The sequence below is a fragment of the Homo sapiens genome, chromosome 19, assembly GCF_000001405.40.
Source record: "Homo sapiens chromosome 19, GRCh38.p14 Primary Assembly".
Classification (NCBI taxonomy): domain Eukaryota; kingdom Metazoa; phylum Chordata; class Mammalia; order Primates; family Hominidae; genus Homo; species Homo sapiens.
The window spans coordinates 41409954-41430442 of record NC_000019.10 but is presented as its reverse complement, the minus strand read 5'-3'; the positions used below and the strand labels follow the sequence as shown (position 1 = coordinate 41430442).

General features: G+C 56.0%; 2 protein-coding genes across 4 annotated transcripts in view, besides 2 other annotated features; one reads left to right on the top strand and one right to left on the bottom strand.

Moving 5' to 3' along the window:
* Positions 1–1712: 1712 nt before the first annotated feature.
* B3GNT8 (UDP-GlcNAc:betaGal beta-1,3-N-acetylglucosaminyltransferase 8) lies at positions 1713–5084 on the top strand. Of its 2 annotated transcripts, NM_198540.2 has the most exons (3): positions 1713–1847; positions 2873–3159; positions 3633–5084. In NM_198540.2, the coding sequence occupies exon 3, from the start codon at positions 3665–3667 to the stop codon at positions 4856–4858; it is 1194 nt and encodes a 397-aa protein (NP_940942.1). In that variant the 5' UTR covers positions 1713–1847; positions 2873–3159; positions 3633–3664; the 3' UTR covers positions 4859–5084. The 2 variants fall into 2 exon arrangements, with proteins under 2 accessions (NP_940942.1, NP_001372577.1); NM_001385648.2 differs by lacking the exon at positions 1713–1847 and having other exon boundaries at positions 3069–3159.
* Positions 2749–2898: a silencer, noted in NCBI's record as "silent region_10667". NCBI's record gives its function as "represses an Ori minimal core promoter by ATAC-STARR-seq in GM12878 lymphoblastoid cells {active_cell/tissue: GM12878}" and the evidence as "EXISTENCE:reporter gene assay evidence [ECO:0000049][PMID:35858748]".
* Positions 2919–3028: a silencer, noted in NCBI's record as "silent region_10666". NCBI's record gives its function as "represses an Ori minimal core promoter by ATAC-STARR-seq in GM12878 lymphoblastoid cells {active_cell/tissue: GM12878}" and the evidence as "EXISTENCE:reporter gene assay evidence [ECO:0000049][PMID:35858748]".
* Positions 5441–20489, bottom strand: part of BCKDHA (branched chain keto acid dehydrogenase E1 subunit alpha) — a 27185-nt gene continuing 12136 nt past the window's right edge. Inside the window, exons 2-9 of one of the 2 annotated variants that reach the window (NM_000709.4) lie at positions 19627–19806; positions 19434–19520; positions 16286–16394; positions 11147–11308; positions 8073–8279; positions 7673–7814; positions 7274–7445; positions 5441–6005 (exon numbers count right to left, since the gene is read on the bottom strand). In NM_000709.4, the coding sequence (NP_000700.1) occupies positions 5835–6005; positions 7274–7445; positions 7673–7814; positions 8073–8279; positions 11147–11308; positions 16286–16394; positions 19434–19520; positions 19627–19806 (1230 nt within the window). In that variant the 3' untranslated portion in view covers positions 5441–5834. The remainder of the gene's footprint in view (positions 6006–7273; positions 7446–7672; positions 7815–8072; positions 8280–11146; positions 11309–16285; positions 16395–19433; positions 19521–19626; positions 19807–20489) is intronic. The other variant, NM_001164783.2, reaches the window with a different exon arrangement.

Genomic DNA, 20489 nt, shown 5'->3' with positions numbered 1-20489 from the left:
GGCCAGGCACGGTGGCTCACGCCTGTAATCCCAGCACTTTGGGAGGCCAAGGCAGGCGGATCATGAGGTCAGGAGTTCAAAACCAGCCTGGCCAACATAGTAAAACCCCATCTCTACTAAAAATGCAAAAAATTAGCCAGGCGTGGTGGCGAGCACCTGTAATCCTAGTTACTCGGAAGGCTGAACCCTCCCGAGTAGGAGGATCTCTTGAACCCAGGAGGCGGAGAGGTTGCAGTGAGCCGAGATTGCACCACTGCACACCAGCCTTGGCGACAGTGCAAGACTCCATCTCAAAAAAAAAAACAGAGGCCGGGTGCAGTGCCTCATGCCTGTAATCCCAGCACTTTGGGAGGCCGAGGCGGGTGGATCACAAGGTCAGGAGATGAAGACCATCCTGCCTAAGTACTCTACTTTAGTAGAAATAGTGAAACCCTGTCTCTACTAAAAATACAAAAACATTAGCCGGGCATGGTGGCGGGCGTCTGTAGTCCCAGCTACTTGAGAGGCTGAGGCAGGAGAATGGCGTGAACCTGGGAGGTGAGGCTTGCAGTGAGCGGAGATCATGCCACTGCACTCCAACCTGGGTGACAGAGTGAGACTCCGTCTCAAAAAAAAAACCTTGTGATGACCTCACCAGGGGCAGACACCTTGAAAGTGGTCGTCCTTTTTTTTTTTTTTTTTTTTTTGATTAGCGGTAAGATCTCACTATGTTGCCCAGGCTGGTCTTGAACTCCTGGAAAGTGATCCTTCCCTCTTGGCCTCCCAGAGTATTGGGATTACAGGGGTGAGCCACTGTCCCACCACAGTTTTTTTTTTCTTATGGCCAGCTCTTATACAGAAATAACAGATACACCCCATTCTTCTTAAGACTCACCACAGCGCCCCTTGCTGCCTCTAGACCCATAAATACCTAGGGTGAAATCAGCTTGCTCCAGGTGAACAGGTGCCAGCTAGGACCTAGGCGGGAGCAGCTTTTACACTATAAGAATGACAAGGCTTCGCAAATATACAGAGTCAGAAACTTGGGGAATGTGTGCAGAAGGGGATTTTAAGGATGTTACACCAATGAGGGTGGATGTAACACTAGCTCAGGCCAAATTTACTGGCATGAGTGCGCTTTCTAGAGCTTCTGGATTTCATGGGTTACCTTGTGCAGCTGGACGTAGTTCTAATAGCTTGCTTGGGTGCCTAACCGGAACTTGGATCCAACAGTGGCCTAAAGTTAATGAGGCAGAGAGACCAGAACTGCCCTAGCATAAGATGGGTGAGGGGAGTCCCAAGGCTTGGGGAGACAGAAGTGTTGGATTGGAATGATCGTGTTCCACCAGCATGTCCACCCTCCAACCATGTTCCCCAAGAAGGCACCCCTTAGTGGCCAATCCCATGAGAGTTAATCATTCTGTATATTGAACTTTCCCTATTCCCATTCCTGTGTGGTTTCTCTCTCCTGATTGGACCCGGACTGAGGCACATGGCAAAGGCAAAAAGAAAGGCACCTTGTGAAGCTTCCTAATGCTTCCAGGAGGAGCAGCACCCCCTGCCCCCAGAAGCTAGATGAGCTCAGGGGGCCTGGAGTCCCTCTCCCCCAGCCCCAGAGTGGAGTGGGCTTGCAGACTCCCTCAGGAGGTGCTCGGGCCCCTGCCCCCAGCCCCTAGCTGTCATTTCCCACTCCAACTATTATTCCATTAATATTCACCACTTCCTCCCCACTCTCTTCCTCCAGCTGTTCCCACAGGCTCCATTATTCAAACTTTGGGGGAGGAAATCAGGGCTGGACAGATCATCAACTGCTGCTGCTGACAGACTGTGTTCCTGCCATGATGGGGACAGGCCTGCCCCAAACCAGGGTGGAGTGAAGGGGTCAGCCCAGGCTTAGTGGGAGCCCCTTAGTCTTACCCCATGTCTTGGGAGGTCTTCAGAGAGCTGATGCAGTCCCAACAGCAGGGGCCCCTGGAGGGCAGGGATGCAAACACAGGCAGACACCCCCTCCTGCCCCAAGGGGCTGGATGTGAGTGTTCCTGGAGTCACAGTGCCGCTGGGGGAGGGGAGGGGCCCGGGGTGAGGCTGGCTCCAGGCCGGAGGTTGGGGGTAAGGTAGGAACAGATTCCCACGCTGCTGGGCAGGCAGCCCGGGTGCCGAGAGGGATGGAGGAGGTACAGGGGATCAGCTTAGCTCCCGGGGTTCCCCGTGGGCCCCACCCCGTCACCCTCTATTGCCCTTGAAGCTCCAGTCTTTTCCTCTCCTGTTCTTCCCCTTGGCTCCCTCTCCGCCTCTGCCTGGGTCTGGCTCGGAAGCCTGAGTCCCTCCCCTCTGCCCTCCACCTGCCTCTCTCAACCTCTCTTTCCCCATGAGCACCCCACAGGGCTTCCGCAACCCCTTATCTTTCTCGCCATCTCCATTTCCCTCCCCCTCTCCCTCCTGGCCACCTTCCCACTTGCCCGTCTTCTCTCTCTCTCCCCCTCAGCTCTCTCCATCGCCTGTCTCACCCCAGTTCTCCTCTCTCTGCTCCCTGGCCGTCTCTTCCCTCTCCACAATGTCTCTGTCTCTCCTTCTCCTCACCAGCCCCGTTCCCCCCACCTCACCCTGACTGGGCAGCAACAACAAACATCCCTCTGGCAGGCCCGCCGATCCCTTCCCACTCAGCACATTCACTGCCGCCTCCTGGCCATGGGTGCAGCCGGGCGCCAGCCTCTCAGCCTCCCCATCTCTGCCTCAGTGGGACCCTGCCTCGCCCTGGTCACTCTAACACTCCCCAGCCCAGGCCCAGCCTTCAGCCCCACCCTCCCTGGCACCCCCTGGCCCTGGTTCTCCCCTCCCAGGCCTCACAAAGCCCCCGTCTTGTTTCTGTGGCTGCCCCCTGCACCCTTCCCAGCTGTCTCACCAGAAACCAGCCCTAACACGCCAGAGCCCCATCTCTCAGGTCGGCCTCCTGCCCTCCTCCCTCCCTCCCTCCCTCCCTCTCTCCTGCCTCAGCCCCGCCCCGGCCCCTGGGGCCCTCCCTGCTCCCGCTCCACTCCCCTCCCCGCCCCTCTGGACTGGCTGGGCAGGGCTGGGCCCCGCCGGTCGACAACACAGGGGCTGGGGCAGGCAGATCAGAGGGAGCTGAGGGAGGCCTGACCTGAGGCCGGCACCCGGAGCTGGCGGGAGCCAGACCCAGAGGTAAAAAAGCATGGGATCCCTGGTTCCCCAGTCCCTGGGGTTGGGGTGTTGCGGGAGGCAGGCTGGGTTTCTAACCCCAGGGAGCTAGGAATCCCGCTCCTGATTTCCTGGTGAGGGCAATAAATGGAGGGAGAGGGAGGAGATAGACGGCAAGGTCCCTTGTCCTGGATGGAGACAGGGAAGAGGTAGACCCTTGGGCTTTTAGGAAGGTGGAAGCATTTGGACGGAGTGGGAAGAACAGGGTGCTGGTACGGGATTGGAATGGGGGACTCCTAGGTCTAGGAATAAGGACCAACGAGGTCCCTGGGTCAGGGGAGCTGTTTAGGATCTGGGACCGAGAGAATCTGTTATGGGGGTTGGCGGGGACTATGGGAGATTGTGAAGCTGTCTGCCTGGGGCCTGGCTGGGCCCTCTCTGGAGGCCCATCCCCACACCCCAATGGCCTCCGTGGCTCCCCTGTGGCTCCCTTGTAGCTCCCGCGGCCGCCCCTTCCCTGGGCCGGGTCATGCGCTGCCCCAAGTGCCTTCTCTGCCTGTCAGCACTGCTCACACTCCTGGGCCTCAAAGTGTACATCGAGTGGACATCCGAGTCCCGGCTCAGCAAGGCCTACCCCAGCCCTCGGGGCACCCCGCCAAGCCCCACGCCAGCCAACCCTGAGCCCACCCTACCTGCCAACCTCTCCACCCGCCTGGGCCAGACTATCCCGCTGCCCTTTGCTTACTGGAACCAGCAGCAGTGGCGGCTGGGGTCCCTGCCCAGTGGGGACAGCACTGAAACGGGGGGCTGCCAGGCTTGGGGGGCCGCCGCCGCCACCGAGATCCCTGACTTCGCCTCCTACCCCAAGGACCTCCGCCGCTTCTTGCTGTCAGCAGCCTGCCGGAGCTTCCCACAGTGGCTGCCTGGAGGTGGTGGCAGCCAAGTCTCCAGCTGCTCAGATACTGATGTCCCCTACCTGCTGTTGGCCGTCAAGTCAGAACCAGGGCGCTTTGCAGAACGACAGGCCGTGAGAGAGACGTGGGGCAGTCCAGCTCCAGGGATCCGGCTGCTCTTCCTGCTAGGGTCTCCGGTGGGTGAGGCGGGGCCTGACCTAGACTCACTAGTGGCCTGGGAGAGCCGTCGCTACAGTGACCTGCTGCTCTGGGACTTCCTCGACGTCCCATTCAACCAGACGCTCAAAGACCTGCTGCTGCTGGCCTGGCTGGGCCGCCACTGCCCCACCGTGAGTTTTGTCTTGCGAGCTCAGGACGATGCCTTTGTACACACCCCTGCCCTGCTGGCTCACCTGCGGGCCCTGCCACCTGCCTCGGCCCGAAGCCTCTACCTGGGTGAGGTCTTTACCCAGGCCATGCCTCTCCGGAAGCCAGGAGGACCCTTCTATGTGCCCGAGTCCTTCTTCGAAGGTGGCTACCCAGCCTATGCAAGCGGGGGTGGCTACGTCATTGCCGGGCGCCTGGCACCCTGGCTGCTGCGGGCGGCAGCCCGTGTGGCACCCTTCCCCTTTGAGGACGTCTACACTGGCCTTTGCATCCGAGCCCTGGGCCTGGTGCCCCAGGCCCACCCAGGCTTCCTCACAGCCTGGCCAGCAGACCGCACTGCGGACCACTGTGCTTTCCGCAACCTGCTGCTGGTACGGCCCCTGGGCCCCCAGGCCAGCATTCGGCTCTGGAAACAACTGCAAGACCCAAGGCTCCAGTGCTGACTCTCATTGGGGAGGGCGGAGGTGCTGACCTGGCCTGGGCCTCTGGGGCCGGCCCCTGGCTCAGCCCCTCCTTCCAGGTCTTGATGGGAGGGAGGAGGGCCCAGAAGCTGGACAACTTAAGCCACTCCTTGGCCTCCCCCAGCCAGGGGCCTGGGCAGGAAAGATGGGGTGGTGGACTGTTTTTGCCTACTTTTTGTTTTTGAAAAACATGCACTCCCCACTCTGAGGCCTGGGGTTGTTTTTGCATCTGTGGGGCCCTGGAGTGGTGGGGAGCAGGGCTTGGCCACACCCTGACCTTCATCCTGGACGCTCCCCTGCACCCCTGCTGGGCAGGGCTAGCTCCACTGGGCTCCCCATCACTCTGCTGGACAGCAGGCTTCTCCCATTCTGTGAGAGAGCAGGAGACCATCTCTGGAGGACCCCCCCACCCCCATCCTGTCTGCTGAAGTTAACCTTCCAGCTTGCGCAAGCTTCCGGGGGAAGTAGGTATCTCAAGAGCCTTGACCTTATTTATCTAAGGTGGAGAAGCTGGGGGTGGCCTCAAATCACCCCCAAACTCCAGGAAACAAAGACCAGAGGTGGTAGAGAGCCAGGCGCAGAGATGCAGTTTATTCGTGACCTCTGCTGGCCACTCGCACCTGCGCAAGTTCCACAGGCTGACCTGCCATGTCCACCCCATGCCCAGAGGGGCTTCTAGTCCTGAATGTGCCCTCACCCAGCCCCTGGGAGAAGGCACTGTAACAACAGGTGAAGAGGGGGCTGACGGAGCCTCAGCAACTGCTGCAGATGCTGTCCCCTGACAATGTAACAGCCGGGAGGAGCAGGGGTGAAGAGTGGCAGCCGCCCTGGCCGCTGAGTATTTTAGAGGGAGCTGACTGGGGAAGACAGTGGTGTGCTGTCAGGTCCCCCTGCTCCCCTTAGAGTGGGGCTACCTCTCGGGGTAGCTGAGGATGGGTGGGGGTGGGCTGAGCAGGTCTCACTTATCGAAGTGATCCAGTGGGTAGTGCTCCCCGTAGGTCTGCAGGTGGCGGGCCAGAGACTCCTGCTGCTTGCGGAGCTGGGCGGGCATCTCCTGATACACGTCTGAGAAGAGTAGGTTGGGGTTGGGTTTGGGCTTCCGCTCGGCCTGCTCAAAGGCCTCCATCACCTGTGGGGACATGGGGCAGTGGGCAGGCTAGCCGGCCTCCCATGCAGGACCCTGCTTCCTCCTGCGGGGCCTTGGCAAGGAATTAACCACTCCAAGCCTTTGTGTTCCCACCTCGACAATGGAAATGATTATCCTAGCAGAAGTGTAATGAAAACCCTCAAATCCCAGCAGGGATCAGGTGCTATCCAAGTGTGTGGAATCATTTAAGGCTTTCAGCAGCCCTAAGAGGTAGACAGCTAAGCAATGAGGAAACTGAGGCACAGAGAAGGGCAGGGACAGGACACACGGTGCTGCCCTATGCCGGGTGCTGCCCTCACCACTGGGCTGCACGGGCCCTGGGTCCTAATGACCGGGCCAGGGAGGGTGGCACACTGACTCTGGGCAGGGCATGTACACTCCACCACGGTTTGCCACCTAATCCTCAAACCAGCTTTTTTTTTTTTTTAAGAGATAGTCTTGCTCTGTTGCCCAGGCTGGAGTGCAGTGGCGCCATCTCCAATCACTGCAAGTTCCACCTCCCGGGTTCAAGCGATTCTTCTGCCTCACCTTCCTGAGTAGCTGGGACTACAGGCACGCACCACCACGCCTGGCTAATTTTTTTTTTTGAGATGGAGTCTTGCTCTCGTTGCCCAGGCTGGAGTGCAATGGTACGATCTCAGCTCACTGCAACCTCTACCTCCCAGGTTCAAGCAATTCTCCTGCCTCGGCCTCCCAAGTAGCTGGGATTACAGGCACCCGGCACCATGCCCGGCTAATTTTTGTATTTTTATTAGAGACGAGGTTTCACCATGTTGGCCAGGCTGGTCTCAAACTCCCGACCTCAGGTGATCTGTCCGCCTTGGCCTCCCAAAGTGCTGGGATTACAGGCGTGAGCCACTGCGCCCAGCCCTAATTTTTGTATTTTTAGTAGAGACAGGGCTTGACCATGTTTGGCCAGGCTGTTCTCAAGCTCCTGACCTCAAGTGATCTGCCACCTCGGCCTCCCAAAGTGCTGGGATTACAGGTGTGAGCCACCATGCCCAGTCTCAAACCAGTTTCTGAAATGGGCACCACCAGCATCCCCTTTCAAAGACAAGGAAGTGGAGGGCAACATGCCAAGGACACAGAGCCAGGACACACATGGCCCCAGCAGCCTGGCTCCACAGGCCACATCTGAGACATCACTGGGGTTATCCCTGAGCCTCCCAGTTCGGTGTTCCACAAATCCTTCCCAAGCTCTGCAGGCCGCAGCAGCCCCCAGCACACCCTCCCGGGCGGGGCACCCTCACCTTCCTGCGGGACTGCTTCCTCCAGGCCTTCTCCTGCTCCTCATCCCACCAGCCTTGGCTCAGCAGATAGTGCCGCAGCCGGGAGATGGGGTGGTCCTGTTTATCCCAGTAATTGACCTCATCCACCGAGCGGTACGCTGAACTGTCGTCACTGGTGCTGTGGTGCCCGATCCTGCACAGGGGCAAGGGGCCCCAGGTCAGTGTGGGCTCCCTGGAGTGGGGGTCAGGAGGGAGGATGGGGGATGAACTAGGGAAGGAGGAGTGGAAACGGAATAAAGGCAAGGGGGAGATGCAACATCAGGTGATAAGGCCATGTTTTGGAGACAGTGATCGATATGAGGAAGATGCTACGGTGGCTGTCAGTGCTGTGGGGGTGCTGACGGGGGGAGCGGCAGGCACCTGTAGGTCATGGCCTCGATGAGGAAGGGCTGGTTCTCTGCCACAGCCCGCCGTCGGGCCTCCTTTGTGGCGTTGTATACGGCAAACACATCATTACCATCCACGCGGATTGACATGATGCCATACCCGGGGCCTCGTGCTGCTGTGGGGACACAGAGAAGGCAGGTCAGGCCAGGGCTGAGATAAGGAACATGCACGAGGCCAAGGGGACGAGCAGGGAGAGGACAGAGAGCAAGGCTGAGTGCTCAGGACCTCAACTCCTGTGGCTGACCAAGTGCCAGACGCCACAGGACACAGGACGAGAACCAGGAAGGAGGGTAGGGGTGGCAGGAAGGTGGCAGGATTGGGGAGGGAAGGAGATGATCCCAGCGGGGTGGGGAGCAGCCAGCAGAGCCCATACCAATGCCATCGCCGCGATACTGCTCAGAGGTGGGCGTGGAGATGGCGTAGCCATTGTTCCGGCAGAAGAAGATGATGGGGCACTCAAGTGTGGCAGCGAAGTTGAAGCCGGCATGGGCGTCCCCCTCACTGGCTGCCCCCTCGCCGAAGTAACAGATGACGACCCTGTTGGCATTGGCCCGCTTGGCTGCGTACGCCGCCCCCACCGCTGCAGGGGATGAGAGGGTGGTGAGCAGGGGCGGAGACTCACATGCACTCACACTCATTCACACTCACATGACCCACGGCTCAAGCGTGGCTCAGGCCAGCAGTCACCAGGCTTCAAGGGGAAAGGAAACACCTCAGCTCCTGATGCCCCCCAGCATCTGCCCACCCAGGTCTCCTCTTGCTCAGCTGAAAGCAACTCCACCCTTCCAACTGCTCAGGCTGAAGAGTCCAGTATCATCTCCAAGCCAAACTTCCCGCCATTCTCCACATCTACTCCACCTTCAGAACCTAACCCCTCTTACCTCCTCCTCTGCACCACCCTGGTCAAGCCCAAGTTACTGAGCAGCCTCCTTACTAGCCCTTCACACACTGCCCAATCCCTTATCCACAGGGCAGCCCGCGGATTCCATGAAGAGGTGAGCCAGGCCAAGGAAGAGCAGACTCCTCCCCACCCACGGCTCCTGTCCCACTTTGAGTAAAAGTCGACATCCCTGCAACAGGCAAAGGCCTTGAGGCCCCACCCAACCTGCACCATCTGCACCCCCACCCACCACCTCCTGGACTTTACCTCCAACCACCCCACACCTGCTCACCCTACACCCGCTCACTCCACACCTGCTCACTCCACACCTGCCCCTCTGGGCTCCTCCCAGCTCCTCAAACACGCCAGGCTCACACCTGCCTCAAGACACCACACAGCTCCCCCCTCACATCCTCTGGTCCATACTTCAGTGTCACTCCAGTGACGGACCCCAGCCACCCCTACAGTGCACCACACCCGGCTGGCTTGGCTGCTCCCTACAGGACCCCCACCCTCATATACTCCAGGAGTTCCCTCTCCATCTCTGTTACTGTCCGTCTCCCCCACCACAATGGCAGCACCAGGAGGGCTGAGGTTTGCGTTGCTTTTGTTCCCTGCACTTGGAGTGGCACCGGCACATGGCAGGAACTTCGTGTATTTGAAGTGACTTAGCAGGGACCCAGAGGGAAGGTTAGGGCCACGCCCCAGCCTTGTGGAAACCCTATTACCTTTAGCTCAAATGCCCCCTAAATGCCCCCTCCTCTGAGAAAGCTTCCCTGCCCACCTCCCACCTAAGAGGCTCAAACTGCTTCTTGTTCCTCAACAAAAGAACACTATGAGCTAAGGGGTGTGGAGCCTCCTGCTGTGCTGGGCACAGTGCTGAGGCCTGGAGAGACACAAACTCATGCATCTCAGCTGCCCTAGGGCAAAGAAGCCAGGGCCCAGACCAACCCTAGATCAGGCTACAGGCCCCGGAGGACAGGAAGGGGCTCCGATTCCTTGTTCTCCACACTATGAGGGTGCAGGCCTGGCACCCAGTGGGTTTGCTTCCCAAAAAAGCTCTTATAAGGGAAGGGACTTCAGGGCACCTACGGTAAGCTTTGGGGAAGCTTACTTGACTCTGAGGACTGAGGCAGACAAAGGTCAGGGCCAAGAACCCAGGCTCTGGAGGTACACAGTCAATGACTTGAGTCCCTGCTCCTCTCCCTCTGTGCCACATGACCGTTAGCGAGTGACTTCCCTCTTTGACTTCAATTTCCTTTTTTTTTTTTTTGAGACAGGATCTCACTTTGGCTAGAGTGCAATGGCACGATCTCAGCTCACTGCAAACTCTGCCTCCCAGGTTCAAGCAATCCTCCTGCTTCAGCCTCCTGAGTAGCTAGGATTACAGGTGTGCACCACCATGCCAAGCTAATTTTTGTATGTTTAGTAGGGACAGGGCTTTGCCATGTTGGCCAGGCTCCTGCACTTTTTTTTTTCCCATTCACTTGCTGTCTCTCACACACACACAAAACACGGGCATCCTGCTCTTGAAAACAGGAACAAGAGCAAATAATAACCTCTGTCCCCATGGCCACAATGAGGGTCCTTATTAGATGATGAACGTGAAGCATTGGCACAGTGGAACCTGGTGCACACGTTGGCTATGTTTGTGAGCAGACAAATGCAGTAGGCATGTGGTTGGGAAATCCAGAGTGTGGTCACACAGGCTTCAGGCCCCTGAATGGGGTGGGGACAGCAACAGAGCCCTCTTCTGAAGGGTCCCAGACAAGAGGTGCATTCAAAGTCTGGAACACAGGCCAGGTGCAGTGGCTCACATCTGTAATCCCAGCACTTTGAGAGGCCAAGGTGGGCAGATCACTTGAACTCAGGTTCAAGACCAGCCTGGCCAAAATGGTGAAACCTTATCTCTACAAAAAATACAAAAATTTAGCCAAGCACAATGGCATATGCCCATAATCCCAGCTACTCAGGAGGCTAAGGCAGGAGAATCACTTGAGCCTGGGAGGTGGAGGTTACAGTGAGCCGAGATTGCACCATTGCACTCCAACCTGGCTGACGAGAGTGAAACCCCGTCTCAGACCAAAAAAAAAAAAAAAAAAAAAAAAAAAAAAAAAGTGGGCTGGGCACAATGGCTTAAACGCCTGTAATCCCAGCACTTTGAGAGGCTGAGGCGGGTGGATCACCTGAGGCCGGGAGTTTGAGACCAGCCTGGCCAACACGGTGAAACCCTGTCTCTATTAAAAATACAAAAATTAGCTGGGCGTGGTGGTGCACACCTGTAGTCTCAGCTAATCGGGAGGCTGAGGCAGGAGAATTGCTTGAAGCTGGGAGAAGGAGGCTGCAGTGAGCTGCGATAGCACCACTGCACTCTAGCCTGGGCAACAGTGCAAGACTCCGTCTCAAAAAAGAAAAAAATAAGAAGAAGAAGTCTGGAGCACAGACCAGGGCTCTAGTGGTGTCACCAACCCAGAATTCCACCCAGAAGGCAGGCAAAAGAGCTGAGGCCTGGACAGGGGTGTGACATTGGTCTGCACATGTGCAAGGTACAGGGCATGCATCCTCACCCTGAGGGATCTGCGTGGCCAGTGGAGAGGAGATAGTGACGAAGTGGCGTTCCTTGCAGCCGTAGTGGACAGGCATCTGGCGCCCCTTGCCCAAGTCACTGATGTTGCCATAGCACTGGGCCATGAATAGTTCCAGGGGGTAGTCCCGATACATCAGCACACCTAGGAGGGGAGGAGGCAATGGTTAGCCGAGTGGGCAGTACAGGGGGACAGTTCAGCCCTGTGGGTGACCTGCAGCATGCTGGCAGGCAGACAGGAAAGCTCAGGCTTGTTTTAAGAGGAAGACTGATGTTCAGACTGACTGACTCTGCCCAGCAAGGCCAATCTGATTTTTCAAAAGAAAGCAGAAATCTAGCCTTTTTCTTTCTTTCTCTTAGTGAGATATTGTCTGGTATTTAAGTGCTTTCAACTAATTCAATTACCTTTAAGAAATATTCTAACCATAAATCATTACTATGGCCAGGCATGGTGGTTCATGCCTGTAATCCCAGCACTTTGAGAGGCTGACGTTGGAGGATCGCTTGAGCCCAGGAGTTGGAGACCAGCCTGAGCAACATGGTGAGGCCTCGCTTCTACAAAAAAAAAAAAAAATCAAAACATTAGCCAGGCATGGTGATGTGTGCCTGTGGTTCCAGCTACTTGGGAGGCTGAGGCAGAGGATTGCTTCAGCCCAGAAGTTCAAGGCTGCAGGCAGCTGAGATCGTGCCACTGCACTCCAATCTGGGCTACAAAGCAAGACCCTGTCTCGAAAAAAAAAAAAAATCATCATTATGAACCAAATAACAGCATAGACCACTAATTTACAACTTCTGGACTACAGAAGTACTCTAACCCATGTATGGCAGTAAAACCTTTTCTTCAAACAAAACCTCTGGTGAACACCCACCTCCCCATCAAAGGGAACCGCTCCAGGTTAAGGGGGCCCTTCCTCCGAAGTTAGAAGACAGAAGGGGGTTTGTGATTGCCCTCAGACAAGCTCTTTGCCCCGCCTGAAGAGTGGGACAACCTTCACACCAACACTTTAGGGGCAGCGCTGTGGATCAATGCTGCAAGCACTCAGACCGGGAACATTATTCAGAGGGAGCTCTCTAGTACAGTGCTTTCCAAATCCTTTCTTTACCGCAGAACCCGCTCTTTAGATACAAATTTAATGGAGATCACATTACACACAGCAGTTACCTTTTTTTTTTTTTTTTTTTTTTTTTGAGACAGAGTCTGGCTTGGCCACCCAGGCTGGAGTGCAGTGGCGCAATCTGAGCTCACTGCAACCTCCACCTTCCAGGTTCAAGCAATTCTTATGCCTCAGCCTCCCAGATAGCTGGGATTCCAGGTGTGCACCACTAGATCTACCTAATTTTCTTTCTTTTTTTTTTTTTGAGACGGAGTTTTGCTCTTGTTGCCCAGAATGCAATGGCGCAATCTTGGCTCACTGCAACCTCTGCCTCCTGGGTTCAAGCGATTCTCCTGCCTCAGCCTCCTGAGTAGCTGGGATTACAGGCATGTGCCACCACATCCAGCTAATTTTTGCATTTTCAGGAGAGACGGGGTTTCTCCATGTTGGTCAGGCTGGTCTCAAACTCCCGACCTCAGGTGATCCACCCACCTCAGCCTCCCAAAGTGCTGCAATTACAGGTGTGAGCCACCACGCCCAGCCCACTTGTTGATATTTTAGTTAGAGTTGAGGGTGGTTAGCACTACTTCAACATCCAACTTTAATACAGGTTTACTGGTATTTTCTGACACATGCTTTTGAATGGACATAATACAAATCCACACAAGATGTGGCTGTGCTGCATATGTAACAGATAGAAACAGGAGTTGCTCTGGTTAAGGAGGGAAAGAAAGGTCTTGTAGAGGGTCAAAGAAGGTCCAAGGGACTGATACAGGACCTTGGAATCAGGCTTTCTCAGAATGTGGTACTAGGTCCACCCATGTGAGAAGGACTGGGCAGGGGCAGGGGAACGTGCTAAAAGTACAAACTTGTCAGGCTCAGTGGCTCGTGCCTGTAATCCCAGCACTTTGGAAGGGTGAGGCAGGTGGACTGCTTGAGCTCAGGAGTTTGAGACCAGCCTGGGCAACACAGCGAAACCCCGTCTCTACCAAAAATCAAAAAAAAAATTAGCCAGGTGTGGTGGCGTGCACCTGTGGTCCCAGCTATTCAGGGGGCTGAGGTGGGAGGATCACTTGATCCTAAGAGGCAGAGGTTGCAGTGAGCCGAGATCATGCCACTGCACTTCAACCTGGGTGACAGAGTAAGACCCCGTCTTGAAGAAAAAAGAAAATACAGACTCACAGGCTGATTTGCACCAGGAAACTCCAGGTCCAGTGGGAACTGCTGCTCTTGCTTGACACATGCTACCTCTTTTCTTGTTGGTCTCAGAGACAGGATCTTACTCTGTCACCCAAACTGGAGTTCGGTGGTGGAATCATAGCTCACTGCAGTCTTGAACCTCTGGGCTCAAGCAATCCTCCCACTCAGCTTCCTGAGTAGCTGGGACTACAGGTGTGCACCACCACGCCTGGCTAATTTTTTAATTTTTTAGAGATGGGGGTCTCGCCATGTTGCCCAGGCTGGTATCAAACTCCTGGGCTCAAGCAATCCTCCCGCCTCAGCCTCCCGAAGTGCTGGGATTACAGGCGTGAGCCACCACACCTGGCACGTGCTTCCTCTTAACACTCCTTTTCACCGGGCGCCACTCCCTGCCAGTGCCACCACTGATACTCCACATATAGCCCTGGGAAGACAGCCAAGGGTGGGAAACAGCGAGAGCTGTCTCTGGGTCAGACTGCCATAAAAAGACTCGGCTCCACTCCTTAGGAGAATGTGGCCTGGGCCCATGACCTCACCTTTGTTGACTCAGGTTCTTACCTGGCTTTTAGAGTTGATGGTAATGCTTGCCTCTCCTGCCTCACATGGATGGGGGAGGTGCCTCAATGAGGCAACACCACTGGGGCCTGCCCTAACCTCACCCGGTGTGCCCTCGCTCTGCAGTGCAGTGAGGGGAAATGACAGTCTCCGAGGCTAAAGAGCACATATAACAGCACCTTGGCTGGCCCGGCGCGGTGGCTCATGCCTGTAATCCCCAGCACTTTGGGAGGCCAAGGCAAACGAATCACTTGAGGTCAGGAGTTTGAAACCAGCCTGACCAACGTGGTGAAACCCCATCTCTACTAAAAATACAAAAATTAGCCAGGCATGGTGGTGCATGCCTTTAATTCCAGCTACTCCGGAGTCTGAGGCAGGAGAATCACCTGAACCTGGAAGGCAGAAGTTGCAATGAGCCAAGACTGCGCCACCGTACTCCAGCCTGGGCGACAGAGTGAGACTCCACCTCAAAAAAAAAAAAAAAGGCCAGGCATGGTGGCTCACGCCTGTAATCCCAGCACTTTAGGAGGTGGAGGAGGGCGGATCGCAAGGTCAGGAGATCAAGACCATCCTGGCTAACATGGTGAAACCCGCCTCTACTAAAAATACAAAAAATTAGCCAGGCATGGTGGTGGGCGCCTGTAGTCCCAGCTACTCGGGAGGCTGAAGCAGGAGAATGGCGTGAACCCAGGAGGTGGAGCTTGCAGTGAGCCGAGATCGCGCCACTGCACTCCAGCCTGGGCAACAGAGCGAGATTCCATCTCAAAAAAAAAAAAGGAGAAGAAAAAAAGAACAGCACTCTGGTGTCAAGAGCCCAGGGAGGCACTACCTATCATGATGAACACCACTCTTCTCACTTCACAGACGACAGACAGCGTCACCAAGGTGAGTGGCCTGCCAAGTGAAGTCTAGAGTGGATGTGACTCAACTCCTTACCCTGCACCATGCTGCCTCTGCATGAGTCCCATTTGCAGCTGCCCAGACACTTCTGCTGACCCTCAGTGCTGGACAGTCATTCTTGCAGAGGCGGCCAGCTCTCCCATGTGGAGAGCTCAGCGGCTCCCATGATTCCCATGAGGCTTGCTCGGTCCTGCCTGGTGCCCTCACAAGAGAACCCTTCAGCAAAAACAGGTGCAGTGCTCAGCACAGCTGGCGGGGGCCCAGCTTGCTGCCTGGTGTCTGGAAATCTTTTTCCGCACGGATGACACTAGACCTTAGACAAACACCACAGGGCGTTTGCCCTCCTAGAGCATGTGGGGCCAAGGGCCTGGTCCAGCTGTGAGCAGTAGACAGTCCAGGAGCAGGCTGCAAGCCATGCTGGTCCATGGGGGCTCTGGACAGCCACGTGGTCTGGCCCTGCTGAAGGGCTGTCCCAGGGCGAGTCCCCGATCATGACACCAACCCCTGGCCCTGAGCGCTTACTCTGTGCTGAGGGCACTTTGCCAACTGCCCCAAGACTGCCCTCAACAGCTGTCTTGGGAAGGGCTACCATCCCCCTTACGAATGAGGAAACAGAGGCACAGGGCAGTTAAGCAACTTGCCCCAAGCATCTAAGACAAAGGGTTAAGATATGCCTTCCTGGCCCTATCAGTGCTCGCTGACACTCTGAGGGTAGTCCCCATGCAGGGCCCCACACCAACAAGCTCCCTGGAAGACCCCACTCACTGCTCCCTGGGCTCACTCCTTCGCTCCCAGGCACTCATTCCTGCTCAATGATTTTCTTCATTCCTGGTCTTTGACCCTTCCTTCCTTTCACTCATCTGGGCTTGCCGGGCCCCTCTAATCTTGCACCGCACTCAGGTCTGTCAAGGTTCTTCCACCTGCTCCTGCTCCCCGAAGGATACAGCACCTGAGGAGGGGCCAGGGGATCACTGCACCAGGCAGACAGGGTCTCCTGCACAGGCCACACCCACAGCGAACGTTGACTTCACTGCATCCTCCCAGCGACCCTTGGATGCAGGTACCGTCATAATCCCTCTTCTGGAGATTAGAAAACTGAGGCTCAGAGAAGGGAAGTGACTTGCCCAAAACCTGACAACTGGTAACAAAGGGTTAAGAGCACAGACCCTGAGCCACTACACTTTCTGGCCTTCAGAGTGGGAAGACTGCCCCCTCCAGAGTCCTAACCCTGGCTTGTCTCTTTCTTGCTTGGAAAGCTCTTCTTCCAGCTCCTTAGACCTTCCTGGCACTATGCTGCTCCTGGAAGAACACTCAGAAAAACTAAAGTGTACACTTCAATGGGGACCACAGGGCCAAACCACGGACAGACGTACCTGCCTCCCGGTACTGGCCAAACACCAGGTCCGTGTTGTCCAGGGCGGCGGCACTCCCCACGTGCGTGCCCTCCTCACCATAGTTGGTCATGTAGAAGGAGATCCGGCCCTGGGGGTGTAGAGGGGACCGGGGTCCCACAATTGGTTATGCTGGGCAATGACAGAGAGCCATCCAAATCCTGCCCAGCTTCCAACACCTCCATGAATTCACAGTCCTCCTGAAGGCCAGTCCTGGGCCAGGCCATGCTGGGGTTCCTGCCTTTAAGAAGACGCTGCCAGACTGCTTAGAACTGCCAGAGGGATCGAGTTGCTGTGATAGAAGCCCAAAGGAAGCACCTGTTCCACCACGGAAGGGCATCGGTGAGGACCAGTGCGCAAAGATGGGGTGGGTGGAGGGTTCCAGGCAGAGGGAATGATAGACCATGAGGCCAGAAGGGCTGGGACATACAGTGGTAGGGGTGGGGAAAGATGAGGAGGGAGAGGAGATGGCACCCAGATAACAAAGGGAACGATACATTGATTTTACTCTGAGAATAGTGGTAACCTGCCGACAGTCTTCTCAAGGGAGCAATGTGGTCAGACCTGTGTTTTAGAATTGCTCTCAGGCTGCAGTGAGGTAAATGGATGGAGTCATCAAGGCTGATTGCAGCAAGCCAGGAGAGAGGGGGCAGAGGCCCAGCTTGGTAGCAGAGGGAGGCGGGAGAGGAGCAGGTGGATGTGTCTGAGGAAGCTGAGTCGGCTGTGCTAGGGGGCAGCAGACCCTGTCAGCTGGCCACACCAGTGCCCAGTTCCCTTCTCCCAAATCCCCTAACCTGAGCCTCAAAAAGACACGCACTCAGGTCCCTGGCCTCCCTTGCAGCCAGAGGTGGCCATGGGACACAGTTTTAGCCAGATATTTTGGTGGAAGTCTGCTTTTGCTTTCTGGATAGAAGAGACCACTGCTGCTGGTGCCAGCCCTACCCACTCCCTACTTCTTCCTGCCTTGCAGACAGCCATGAAGCTTGGACATGCAGCAGCCATGCTGTGAACACGAGGCCACAAGCAGAGCACGAAGGTCAACTCACCAACAACAGTGAAGCAGAGAAAGGATGGGGCTGGGTCTCAGAGTGTGCTGCTGAGCAGCTGAGCACTTCCTAAAGATGTATCTACAGACAGGCTAGGCACGGTGGCTCACACCTGTAATCCCGGTACTTTGGGAGGCCAAGGCAGGCGGATCACTTGAGGTCAGGAGTTCCAGACTAGCCTGGCCAATGTGGTGAAACCCCATCTCTACTAAAAATACAAAAATTAGCCGAGTGTGGTGGTGGGCGCCTGTAATCCCAGCTACTTGGGGGGCTAAGGCAGGAGAATCACTTGAACCTGGGAGGCGGAGGTTGCAGTGAGCCGAGATTGCGCCACTGCACTCCAGCCTGGGCGACAGAGGTGGACTCCGTCTCTAAATAAATAAATAAAAATAACATAAAAGAAAAGAAGTAGCTACAGCTGGGTGCAGTGGCTCACACCTATAATCCTACCATTTTGGGAGGCCAAGGCAGGCAGATCACCTGAGGTAGGGAGTTCGAGACCAGACTGACCAACATGGAGAAACCCCATCTCTACTAAAAATACAAAATTAGCCAGGTGTGGTGGCGCATGCCTGTAATCCCAGCTACTCGGGAGGCTGAGGCAGGAGAATCGCTTGAACCAGGGAGGCGGTGAGCCAAGATCGTGCCATTGCACTCCAGCCTGGGCAACAAGAGCAAAACTCCATCTCAAAAGTAAAAAAAAAAAAAAAAAAGAAATATCTACAGACAGAGGGAATGAGAGGGGAGAAAGGGATAGCAAGGGGGAGGGAGGAGACAGGGATGAGATGAGGTTTCTGGTGTGGGCAAGCAGGTGGATGGTGGTGCTCTTCACTGAGAAACGGACTAGGTGAGGCAAAGGAGCACGCCTGGGAGGAAGATGTCGAGGTCAAGTTCAGACAGGATTAGTTTGCTGTGGGACATCCAGGGCGAGAAGCCAAGCAGGGCTCTGACAAGCAGTCTGGCTGGGGCTCTGGGCAGCCCTGGCATACGGATGGACATGAGATCACACAGGGCCATGTGTAAAGCGGAACAAAGGCAGCCTGGCCAGCACCCTGAGGGACACCCCGGGGCCAGAGCTCCTCGCGGCTCGGCGGTGCCCTCCTCCATGTGTTCCCAGGCCTGGCTTTCCCGTTGCTGTGGGGGAAACTGATGAATGTGTGCTTTCTTCTAAGTGGGGAGCCAATTAAAAGTTAATGCACATTCCAGTGCCAAGTGAGTGGGCGGTGCTGAGTACTGAGGGCCTGGCAGGACTGTCCAGGTTAGCGTGGGTAAGAGCCTGCAACCAGCCCCCTGAGGATCAGGACTCGGGGCTACTGGCAGAGGCTCCTGGTTGCCTTCCCAGTATACTATTCCCCTCCTCTGTTAACAGAGGTCTCAATCTCCCGCAGGCAGCAACTGCCGGGACTAAAGTATTATTAATACATTTCTCAGTCTCCCCTGCAGCTAGGAGTGGCCCAGGAAATGTATGCAGATGTCACTAGGTGGGACTACCCAGAAAGCTCTATAAAGGTGGGGGTGTGGGATAGCTGGGATGTGCCATGTCTGGCCTTCCGCCTTCCCTCTACTTCCTGCCTGGAAGACCCCCTGGATCTAGCTGTGCCCCAAAACAGGACCCTCTGGATGTATGGTCATTGGAGTCAATAACTTCCCTCTTTGTTGACACTGGCTTGACTGGATCCTTGTCCCTGATACTAGGATTTATCAGGGGATCACAGCCCATTTCACATGGGCCTAGGGCGGTCCCCTGGAGCACTCCAGGAAGCACTGGGGACCCACCCTGTTTCTCAGGACTGTGCATTTCCAAGAGGAAGGGCTGTCAGGCCTTCTCCCTGCCCTCTCCCCACACAGGCGAGCCCCCAGCCAGGCACACAGTAGGTGTTTTTTAGTGATCAGGTCCATCCTTCTGCCCTAAGGCAGGACTGCTCTCACACTTCTCCTCCAGAGTCCCAAGAGAACCCTCAGAACTCTATGGAACCCCCCCAAAAAAGAATCTGTCCTCCTTGGGAGCCATTCCTTTGGCCCAAACACAGGTAGGGGACCTCAGGTAATTCCAGCCCCCCGCCCCTAGTCCTGTCCCCACGCACCTGCCGCTGAGACTCATAGAGGATGCGGTCCATGGTGTTAAGCAGTGTCATGCTCTTGTAGAGCTTCAGCACCTTCTCCTTCGGCAGCTGCGGGTGGAGGCACAGATAGACGTGGGGCAGTTGGGACCAGAGAGGAGACAGGCAAGGGGCCTGGGCGTGGGGGGCACGGGAAGTGGGGGAGGCCGCCTCTCACGTGGGGGTCCTCGCTGGGGTTGATGATCTGGCCTTGCCGGTCCATGACGCGGTAGATGGGGATTCCAGAGATGACGTTGGGCTGGATGAATTCCAACTTATCTATAAACTCCGCCGAGGCCCCTGGGAACTGGGGCTTGTCATCCAGAGATGAAAACTGCTGCTGCTGCCTGGGGGGGTGCTGGGGAAGAGAGCAGAGGAGACCACCTGCATCAGAAGCAGCACCCAGGTTTCCGCTGGCTCAGCCCCGGCGGCAGGCAGGCGGCATGGTGGTTGAGCATGTGGCCCCAGTGAACTCTGGGGCCTGACTCACAGGGTCTGAGCCCCAACTCCAGCACTTTCTCACTGCGACACTTTGGATAACTGACTACAACTTCTGTGTCTCAGTTTCCCCATCTGAAAAACTGGGATGAAAACAGTTAACACCTATCCCATAGGACTGTTGTGAGGTTAAATGACTCAATCAAGTGGCTGGCAAGTCAATAACTGGTAGCTATTACTATTCTCATTACCATAGGCCCAAACTCTTCATCCTGGCATTCGAGGCCTCCCCATTCTGGCCACAGATGCCCCCTCCTCTCTCTCTCCCACTGTGACCACAGACACACATGCCCACTGCAGGATGCCCTCTAGGCATACAGACCAGCTCTCTTCTGATCCCTATACCATACACCAGCGAAGCTACTCAGGACAGAGCTTAAGTCTTTGAGCTCTTAAGAGTCAGACTGCCTAGGTTCAATTCCCTTACTGCCTTTAGGAGGCAGAGGCAGGCGAATCTCACTTGAGGTCAGGAGTTCGAGATCAATGTGGCCAACATGGCGAAACCCTGTACCCACTAAAAATAGAAAAATTAGCCGGATGTGG